Source organism: Homo sapiens, chromosome 14 (assembly GCF_000001405.40).
Source record: "Homo sapiens chromosome 14, GRCh38.p14 Primary Assembly".
Lineage (NCBI taxonomy): Eukaryota > Metazoa > Chordata > Mammalia > Primates > Hominidae > Homo > Homo sapiens.
In genome coordinates this window covers 106,671,035-106,682,109 of record NC_000014.9, presented here as the reverse complement: position 1 = coordinate 106,682,109, position 11,075 = coordinate 106,671,035, and the positions used below count along the sequence as shown (strand labels likewise).

Sequence of the window (11,075 nt, the reverse complement as noted above, 5' to 3'; positions counted from 1 at the left end):
TTGATCCACAAGCATAGATACCTACAGGCACTCTTAGATGTAATATTTAACTGCAGGAGTCTAAATAAAATAAAGGATTCGCCAAAAGTCTTGAAAATTTTGGTGCTGACTATGTGTCCACTGATTCAATGCATCCTGAGTTCCAGGGAAGGGAATCCCCAATTCTTTCATAGAGTTGACTGGGTCTCCTAAGGTCAATGTTTTCAAACGATGGTGTCAGTAACATATGGTGTCACTGAAAGAGCATTTTAAACTAGGGCATGGCCACTTCCTATAGCCCTAGAGACACTGAGAGGTAAATGCCCTGTGAGCCCAGATGGAAACCTCCATGCAGGGCAGAGGCAGTGCTGCAGGGGGCGCCCAGGACCCACCCAGAACAGGCTCCAGCCCCAGAGCTGGTGCACAGGAGGCTGCAGAGGGAGTCTCTCACAAGGACTGAGTGTTACTTTACTGAAAACCAAAAAATTATAACATGCTAAATAAGAATTTTATGAGGACTATTTATGTATATTTAAATACCCTAATGTATTTAGAAATAAATAAATCAATAATTCAGTGAGAACCACATTTAAAAGGCAAAATTATTACTGCTTTGAGATATTTTACTAGTAAAAAGATAAAGAACAAGAATGGTTTTATTAAATAAAAATGTACACATTTCAGAGACACACTGGTCCCGAGAGTAAGACTGCGGAGAGCAAATCCTGGAAAGGGCGGAGGCTGTCCATGTGCCATGGGAACTTGGGCTCACGCTGAGAACCATGTCCGGTGTGAGTCAGCTTCTTAGCGGAGAAATTCTCCCTTCACAAATTTCCGGGCATATAAAGGGAAACATGTCATTAAATAAGAATGAAGATTTGTACCTCAGCATCCCACAGTTGTGTTGTCCATGTGAGATCTATTTTCTCTTTCTCGTGCTGGATCAGGTGTAATGCTATGAAGTAGTAGTCCTCATGAATACGCAAATCACCTGAGGTGAACACTACAGATAACTCTGTGCCCTGAGAGCATCACCCAATAACCACATCCCTCCTCTAGAGAAGCCCCTGAGAGCACAGCTCCTCACCATGGAGTGGACTTGGAGGATCCTAATTTTGGTGGTCGTAGCTGCAGGTAGGATAATTCTCAGTCCCCAGGACTAAGGTGACTGGGTCCAGTCAAAGGGGGTTTTATCCACTCCCGTGTCCTCTCCACAGGTGCCCAGTCCCAGGTGCAGCTGGTGCAGTCTGGGGATGAGATGAAGAAGGCTGGGGCATCAGTGAAAGTCTCCTGCAAGACTTGTGGATACACCTACCTTCACCAGTTACTCTATGCACTAGGTGCGCCAGGCCCATGCACAAGGGCTTGAGTGGATGGGAAGGATGTGCCCTAGTGATGGCAGCATAAGCTACGCAGAGAAGTTCCAGGGCAGAGTCACCATGACCAGGGACACATCCACGAGCACAGCCTACATGGAGCTGAGCAGCCTGAGATCTGAAGACACGGCCATGTATTACTGTGGGAGAGACACAGTGTGAAAACTCATATCCTGAGAGTGTCAGTAACCCTGAGGGAGGAAGCAGCTGTCCCAGTTTTCAGGATATGACAGGATTTATGGGGTTTAATGTTGTTTAGAAAATAGGTTATATAATTGAGGAAAAGAAGAAATAGAAAGATATATGCATTCTAATTATATAAGAAATATTCTTTTCAAATCTCACCCTATAAGCAAAATTAACAGAGTGGGAAAAGCAGCAATCAATCAAGCTGAAACAAACATTCCCATGGAGGATTTGTGGGGGCAGACGTTTTAAAATTGAATGGGTAAATCATTTAGGGCAAGATTGCTTGATCCAATACTAAGACTAAATGTAATTTCTGAGAAACTGCCTATCTTTTTATATTAAATTTATTATAAAGCAGTTTTAGGGTTACAGCAGATGTAAAAAGTAGAAACAGAGAGCTCCCATGTACCCCTGCCCAACACATACACAGCCCTCCCCATGATCAGCTCCCTGAAACAGAGTCCTAACTGCGTTATGTGGGATGAACCTACATGGACACACTAGTTCTTTCCTTTCCTGGTGGTCCCCCGGTATAACAAACATAAATTATTTTGAAGCGCCACGGGTTCTTCAAGTGGGTTACTGGGAATGATGCCAGTTAGAGGGAAAGTGGGTGGGGCCATTCCTTTTTGCACTCTTTCTTCAGGAATCCATAAAATGCACATTGACTTAGAGCTCATCTGACTCCTGGTTTTCTATGCCCCTTCCCAGAGGGTAAGTTCTCCAAGCGTGGGAGGAAGGTCCATTTCACTAAAAGGCCAGAAGCTTCTGGTGAATTCCATAATGCACAACCTTTTTTGAGAAGTGGAGACTTTGGACATGAGGGATTTCATGTATGATGCCCTGGAGTTGGATTAAATACAGCGTAAGCTCTTGGGGGTATTTCTGGAGGAGGCCCTTTCTGCAGGAAATTAGAATACATGCAGGGGATCCAGGCAGGAAGAATCACTTCCTTTGACATCGTTTGGCACCTGAAGGAAGCCCTCTCAGCATTGGGCACTGGTCCCACTTGCTGGCTGCACTTTAGCCAGAGGCCTGCGCCTGATCATTCTTGCAGTGGGAGAGCCTTACTGGGGTCACAGGTTATAAAAATGCCTGTCACTCTCCAGCTGAGCAAGTCCATATGCGTGCTTGTCAGTGTCAACCCCATGATGAGTGCACTCTGGAAGGTGACAATCTGCACACAAACCTCCTCCCACTAGTTACCCACTACTATACACTACTTTAAAAATTAATACTTATAATTATATAATATAATATATATTATATAACTATATAAAAATGATTATGATGATGACATTTGGCTGTTGCAATTTCTTTAGGATCTCTGCATCTCTCTTCACTAGACATGTAAGTCTTCAATTTCTTGTCCCTGTGACACGTTGCCCAGTGTTTGAAGTCAAAGTTGTGCCGAGTACCTGAGTATGTCCTCAGAGAAGATCTCAGCAATGGTTGATTGTTCTACAGGGACTTTTCCAGGAGACCTGTCCCAGGGAGTCATGAGGTTCCTCTGGAAATACTAGCCCCTGCAGGAGATGAGACGGAAGCAGGAGAATCAAGAGCAGGTGACAACATTGTCAGCAGGAGGCTCCAGATGCTTTCCAGACACAGTGAACCTTCACCCACTTGCCACACTGCACAGGGAGTTTGCAGGGGCACAATGAGGTGCCTGTCTGTGGGATGTTGGGGGACAAAGTGAAAACCTGAGCTCAGCATCCAGGAAAGTATGAACTCCAGCCCTGATAATATGTAGCCTGTGTTTTCTTTCCTTCTACGTGAACACTTTGCCTTATTGTTAAGAACAGAGGATTCTAGCTCTAAGTGCACGGATTGCAGACAGCTATGACTTTCCTCCGGGCCAGGCTCCTCTTAATGTACTTCTTGGACTTATTTGTTGATGAAGGTTGGTTCCATTAAATACCAAAACAGGGTTCATATTAAAGAAAAATGAAAGAGTGACAGGTAGATTAAACCCGAGCATCCAGTTCCAGTGATTCTTTGACCCTGCCTTCCCAAAAATCTCCGATATGAACAATGACAATGCCCTCCATGGTTAGATTATATTATAAACTAGATTGAGCTAGAGTGTTTGGTGTATTAAGTCACTATTTTTTTTAGCTTCCCTGTTAGTTTTTTGTTTGTGTGTTAGCATTTACTTTAAAATTCTATTAATCAGTTCTCTAGTAGGTAGAAATTCATCTGAGAGTTTCTTCTCTTGTTGTCCACTTTGATAAGATTTCCAGAAGACATAAGAACCCTTTTTGTTTGCAAAAATATTCCAAAGTTTTACACTAACTAGGAACATATATACTTAATTCTAATTTTTAATTTGTTTAAAAGCTCTAATAAGTGCACTGTTTTCTGCCTTTTGAGTTAATTTCACAACACATAGGAGAATATATCCTAAATGAAAGTTTGTGCTAATAATACAAATTATTGGTAAATAACCTCTGTTTTAATTATTGAGGTATTATCCATTAATATATAATCTTAAATTGATGTTCTCAATGGGACTCTTACCTAAAGAATATACAAAATATTTTCCTGATCTTGACATAAAATAGATGTGAACACATTCTTAGTATTCAGCCATGTCTCCTGTCTATCACATTATGAACCACATGCTAACTTTGATTTACTTGGGACTTGTTCTAATTTCAAACTAGTTATTTTTTTATCTTCATGCAGCTGGATTATTATGTGTGGCTATTTTATCAGAGAATGATAAAGACAATTTTAACAATTTTCACTGCAGGCACGTCTAGGCAAGCCCCCTGTGCACAATGACCTTCGTGGGTTGGACATTCTATGGGGACTCTCCCCTGTCTGCCTAGGAGAGTTATCTGCCTCCTCCCTCTATCATTTTCCTCTTTGAATAAGCGCATCTAACTGCCGTTAGAATACAGACAAAGGCCAACCTTAACTGCTCCCAGCTGACAGGGGATGCTGTTTTGGGAAGATCTCCCTTGAGGTCTGTCTAAGGGACCTAGTAAAAGGGAGCCATTATCCCAGGCTTCACTTGGATGACCATTTGGAGTTGATGCCTGAAGGTGAGAAGAGACAAACCAGGTTATTAGAAGACATGTATCAAAACCAAACAAGGTGGTAAGGACAGTTTGAAAAAAAATTCCAAGGCTGCTGACACACCCAGATAACTGGCGGCTGTAGTTATGCCTGCTAAGATTTGGGTGCATGGGGCTTGGCTTTCGTTAGCTCCCTAGGACTTATTTTCCCAAACAAAGAAACCTCCGGGTTAGGGGGACCCTATTTATTCCAGTCACCTGGCATGATTTGCAGGATAATTGCTCAGAATTAAAATATTCGTCCAGATGTTTATATAGCCCATGCCTGTGTTTCTTCTGAGCTGCAGCCAGAGATCATTGGTTCGTTCACAGCGATAAGCAGAGTTAGTCTAAAATGGAGGCAAATACTTAAAACAATTGAAGAGACTGTAATTTAAAGACAAATGTATGATATGTTTTGAAACATAATTTTTCTCTCTCCAGTTCTGATTTTTGTCAGAAACTAATCATTATAGGACTGAGTGATTTGCAAAATAAACTTTAGTCTTGTGGTTGGTCTGATCATTTGCATAAAGTGGAGCAATAATAATTAATAATAATTCTGTAGGAAAAGCCTGCAAGCACCAGGAGCTTCACAGTCTAACAGTATGAGCACATGCATCCTCCAGCAACTCACTGAATATTTTCAAGTCAGCTGGTTCTTAGCTTAAATAACATCCAGTTGGTATCTGTCCCAGGAACACTAATATATGGTTCTCTCTGCAGGCCCCTCTCGCCACAGATTTAAGGTTTATTTTTTTCCTCTGTGATATCAACTCAGATATGTTGAAGGTTTTTCCCACATTTGTGGTTTTTCAGGTTTGTTGTTAATAAGGTCAGAATAAGATCATAGTTTACTCATTTTTTTACATTCCCATGCTGAGTAGCTACTTTTCTCTATAAAATCCATTAGCTGAGAGAAAAAATAACATTTTCCTAACGGTGAACAATTAAATAGTTTGACATATATTTGTGTACCAGTATATAATGCAGCTTCGAATCAAGGTGTGCCTCAATCATAAAAAACATGGCTAAATTCTCAAAGAATTGTGCTGAGTGAAAGAAGCTAAGGAATTAAGAGTAAATTTTATATAATTCATTGTAGAAATATTAGAAGATGCCACTACCATAAATTAAAATGAAGAAGACTTAAATTTTTCTGAGAAAATGGTGTTGGGAATGATGCGGATGTGATTTAAGTTTCAGAGGAATAAGGAAAAAGATTTAGGGATTAATTTAATTATTCAAAAGTTGATTGAAGTGCCGAGTGAATGGCTGCAAACATAGCTCTACATTTTTCAAATCATTCCCTATAAATCTGAATTAATTATTTATTTATTATACTTGAATAAAGCAATAACGAAGAAATAAATGAATATTTTTGCTAAAATGGAGCAATAAAAAGACTGATATTGACAGAAGAAATATGACTGACTTCTGAAAACACACATGAACCATGGTTCTCTCTGCATATTTAGGTGAATTACAGAAAGTTGTCATAACAGATGGGGAATCCTGCAGACTTCACTAGGCATGGTCCACGCTGCCCTGGAGTTGTCTCAGGGGAGCTGCCTCCTCCGGTGATTAGAGCACAGGCCCAGATAATAGGATTACATTTTTTTAGATGTGTAAACTTAGACGCACTGCACAGCTGCTGTATTCTCTATGTAAATTATCTTCTGTAAAATACAACATTAAAGGCTGCATTAAATATATTGTGTAAATATGTAAAAATAAAATCAGATTATGAGAGCTAAATGTTAATCAAGGCACAATCACATAATATAAAATTATATTTTCCTGAATGATGGAATTACTACCAATCTCCCCCAGGAGACTTCATCTGCACTGGGCCCGGCCTCTCCTCAGATGTCCCATCACAGAGCTTGCTATATAATGGGGGACATGCAAATAGGGCCCTCCCTCTGCTGATGAAAACCAGCCCAGCCCTGACCCTGCAGCTCTGGGAGAGGAGCCCAGCACTGGGATTCCGAGGTGTTTCCATTCAGTGATCTGCACTGAACACAGAGGACTCGCCATGGAGTTTGGGCTGAGCTGGGTTTTCCTTGTTGCTATTTTAAAAGGTGATTCATGGAGAACTAGAGATATTGAGTGTGAGTGAACACGAGTGAGAGAAACAGTGGATATGTGTGGCAGTTTCTAACCAATGTCTCTGTGTTTGCAGGTGTCCAGTGTGAGGTGCAGCTGGTGGAGTCTGGAGGAGGCTTGATCCAGCCTGGGGGGTCCCTGAGACTCTCCTGTGCAGCCTCTGGGTTCACCGTCAGTAGCAACTACATGAGCTGGGTCCGCCAGGCTCCAGGGAAGGGGCTGGAGTGGGTCTCAGTTATTTATAGCTGTGGTAGCACATACTACGCAGACTCCGTGAAGGGCCGATTCACCATCTCCAGAGACAATTCCAAGAACACGCTGTATCTTCAAATGAACAGCCTGAGAGCTGAGGACACGGCTGTGTATTACTGTGCGAGAGACACAGTGAGGGGAGGCCATTGTGCGCCCAGACACAAACCTCCCTGCAGGAACGCTGGGGGAATCAGCGGCAGGGGGCGCTCAGGAGCCACTGATCAGAGTCAGCCCCGGAGGCAGGTGCAGGTGGAGGCTGTTTCCTGTCAGGATGTGGGACTTCATCTTCTTCCAACAGTTTCTCTAATGAACCTCTCTAATTTTAGAATTCTGTGGTTCCTAATGTCATCTCTACATATTTTCAAAAGATCATTTTAACATGAGGACATAACCTCTCATGCACCAAATGCACATTGATGCTTACAAAGATGAAAAGTTCTCAACCATTGTGACCAGGATCGCAGTCCTGAGGAAGCTCACGGGTGTCTGATGAGTCTCCTCCATTCAGGCCCAGGACAGAAACCTCAGAGGGATTCCTGGACCAGAACGGCAGGGATTCTGATCACAGCCAATAGAGAGGCTGGGCCAGGGTCAGTGTCCTGTAGAAGCTCACAGGGTTCAAGTCTGACCCTTCTCCTGACCCTAAAGCCAATGAGCATCAGCACTGATCTGGTGCTGCTTTTGCTCCCAATACATGTTCTTTCTTTGGAGTGTTTGTTCTCCCTTTTTTATTTGCTTTTCTTTCTTCCTGAAAAAGAAACACATGGTCTCTGTGATCTACACTCCAGGGCTCAAGGCATTTTCTTAGAACTCAGGCAAGGCTCAGGCTTGGCTACTCCAGCCACGTGGGAGAGGCTGACGGGATTTCCTTCTCTCTCCATATTCTCAGGGCCCTCCTCTGTGTTGTGTGTAGACTCATCTGGGAATGCAATTGGCTGTTAGTAGTGAAGGGGATGAACTCATTTGATCAAAATGGGATGTGGATGTGGAATTAACCCTGTTCTATGCACACTGTCAGAGTCATCTTCTTCAGAAGTAGTGTTAGAAAGAGCTTGTGAAATTTATCGGCAACAAAATGGATCCCCTTGTGTTAAAACCCTAATGAATGAAGCTGGGGAAGGCCATGAAGGAGGGTTCTAACACATATTCCTGATAAGATGAACTGTCATAAATAGACTCTGCACAGCCACAACCTTTTACACGGAGACCACCACAGCCTTAAAAGCTTTATTTCTCCAAGTAAATCTGCCCTGCAACTGCCTGTTCAACCTTACACCGCTGTCTCAAAATAGCTGCTGTCACCCTCCTCATTTTTCCTTAATTCTCTTTTTTATTATTTTTTAAATTATACTTTAAGTTCTAGGGTACATGTGCTCAAAGTGCAGGTTTGTTACATATGTATACATGTGCCATGTTGGTTTGCTGCCCCCATTAACTCATCATTTACATTAGGTATTTCTCCTAATGCTATCCCTCCCCCTTCCCGCCACCCCATGACAGGCCCCGGTGTGTGATGTTTCCCACCCTGTGTCCACATGTTCTCCTTAATTTTTTATCTTCCTTTTCCTACCTGAATGTACCCATACATATTTTAATTGAAATGCACATCCTGGAAAAAATATTATTATACTTTAGAGTCTCTTTCTGTCTGTTATTCAGGTTGACAAGCTGCAGACGGACATGCCACATTTCTGTGAGACATAGAGGATGACAGTTTTTGGAGATGTCTAGGAATCTCCAATGTCCATAAGATCAGCCATCAATAAATGCAGACTGGAGGTCCCAGAGAGAAGTGAAGCTGCTGAATCGCCGTGGAATTTCATTTTCTCCAGTTCTGCTCTGATGGAATCAGGCCCACCAATTTTATCAATGACAATCTACCTAACTTAGAGTCAATTGATAACAGTATTAATATCATCTATTAAGTAAATTCATAACTATATATATAGTAAGAGAGGGAGAGAGAGAGACAGAGTCTCGCTCTGTTACCCAGGGTGGAGTGCAATGTCATGATCTTGGCTCACTGCAACCTCTGTCTCCGGAGTTCAAGCAGTTCTCCTGTCTCAGCCTCCTCCCAGTATCTGGAAATACAGGCACACACCACCATATCCGGCTAATTTTTGTATTTTTAGTAGAGACAGTGTTTCACCACATTGGTCAGGCTGGTCTCAAACTACTGACCTCAGGTGATCCACCCGCCTCAGCCTCCCAAAGTGCTGGGATTACAGGTGCAGGCCACCAAGTCCGGCTAATTTTTGTATTTTTAGTAGAGATGGGGTTTCACAATATTGGTCTGGCTGGTCTCAAACTCATGATCTCAGCCTCCCAAAGTGCTGGGATTACAGATGTGAGCTACTGTGCCCGGCCAACATCACCTATATTAATGTTGGATTGAATAACTACAAAGTCTACCCTAACCAAGTGTACCATCAAACTTACCATTACCCAGAGGGAAGAATCTTTAACATGAGATCGATTTCTTAAGTGTTTTAAGGTGCAAAACTGACCACTGTACAATCACCCAATTATGATTTTGCTAATGAGTTGTAGAAGTTGCATGTACATTTTGGATATTAACACTTTTTCAGATGCACAGCTTATAATTATATTCTCTCTTTCTGTGGGTTGGAAATTTTTTCCATGCTTTGCAGCATCTTTTTGCTGTGATGTAGTTCTGCTTGTTCAATTCTGCTTTTATTGTCTGTGCCTTTAATTTGAAATATAGGAAATCATTCTTAATATTATTTTCTGGGTGGGGGAAATTTTACAATTGCAAGCCATACGTTTAAGTATTTCGCCCATTTAGAGTAAATTTTGGTATTTAATCTAAACTAAAATTCTTAATTCTTTGCATGTGTAGATTCAGTTTTTCTAACACCCTCTTAGGGAGAGACTTTGATTCATCCATTGTATATTGTTAGTTCTCATGCTGAAAATCAGTTTGCTGTAGATATATTAGTTTATTTCTGAGCTCTCTCTATATATTAATGCCAATACCATCCTGTTATTATTTATGGATCAAAATGTGCATATTTGTGAATTTCAAAATGTTGTTCAGAACTTGTGCATGCCAACAACTGTGTTTCTCCTGCACTCTTGGGCTAGTGAAGCTCTCACAGACCCTCTCTCTCACCTGTGCTGTCTCTGCATTCTCCATCACAACCAGTGCTTCCTGCTGGAGCTGCATCCATCACCCCCCGCAAGGAAGGGACTGGAGCGAATCAGGTGCACAGGTCATGAGGGAGTGCACATTCCAACCCACTCCTCAAGAGTCCAGTCACTATCTCCAGATCCACATCCAAAAAACAGTGTTTCCTGTAGCTGAGCTACCTGAGCAACAAGTACACAACCATGAATTTTAATACAAAAGACACAACGAGGGGAAGTCATTGTGAGCCCAGATACAAACCTCCCTGCAGGGGAGCTCAGAAAGAGCAGGAGGCACTCAGGACACCAGGGAACACTCTGGACACATCAAGGCAGGTGCAATGGGGGGACAAGGGGCTGGAGATGGGGTTTGGCATCACCATCGTATTTCACCACTGGACACCCACCACCGTGTTTATTCTCATGTACCTGATTCTGTGTATTATTAGAAAATGGCATTTATATAAATATATAGCCATATGTAGGTGCATCAAGTTGTCCTCTCCATCGTATGTGGACCTTTCCACTAAGACTCTGAGTCCCTGTATTTATATGAGCACCTCATAAATTATGGTCAATTTTGTGGGATCTCTATCTTTTCTTTCTCCCTTCTTCCCTCCTTCTCTCTCACTCACAAACTCACACACACGCAAAATTCTACAACTTCAGTTACGTGATGTGTTGAAGACAGTTTATAATGTGCAGCTTTTCCAGTTTAGCTGATGTTCATATTGCTGTGAGAATAGGAACATTGTGTTTCTCAGCTGTGTATTTCTCTAAGGTAGCAGCAACTTTTTTTTTTAATTTGACATTTTTTAAAAATTTTATTATTATTATACTTTAAGTTTTAGGGTACATGTGCACAAAGTGCAGGTTTGTTACATATATATACATGTGCCATGTTGGTGTGCTGCACCCATTAACTCGTCATTTAGCATTAGGTATATCTCCTAATGCATTT

General features: G+C 41.9%; 2 pseudogenes, 1 gene segment (V, D, J or C) and 1 further gene; all 4 read left to right on the top strand.

The window, feature by feature from the left end:
* Positions 1–11,075, top strand: part of IGH (immunoglobulin heavy locus) — a 1,293,408-nt gene that overhangs the window by 197,735 nt on the left and 1,084,598 nt on the right.
* On the top strand, positions 1,068–1,507 carry IGHV1-67 (immunoglobulin heavy variable 1-67 (pseudogene); annotated as a pseudogene). The gene is given in 2 exon segments: positions 1,068–1,113; positions 1,197–1,507. Coding segments are annotated over 2 exon segments (357 nt in total).
* Positions 6,645–7,095, top strand: IGHV3-66 (immunoglobulin heavy variable 3-66). The segment is given in 2 exon segments: positions 6,645–6,690; positions 6,792–7,095. Coding segments are annotated over 2 exon segments (350 nt in total), but the record flags the coding sequence as incomplete, so codon positions are not given.
* Positions 10,066–10,338, top strand: IGHVII-65-1 (immunoglobulin heavy variable (II)-65-1 (pseudogene); annotated as a pseudogene). The gene is given in 1 exon segment: positions 10,066–10,338. A coding segment is annotated over 1 exon segment (273 nt).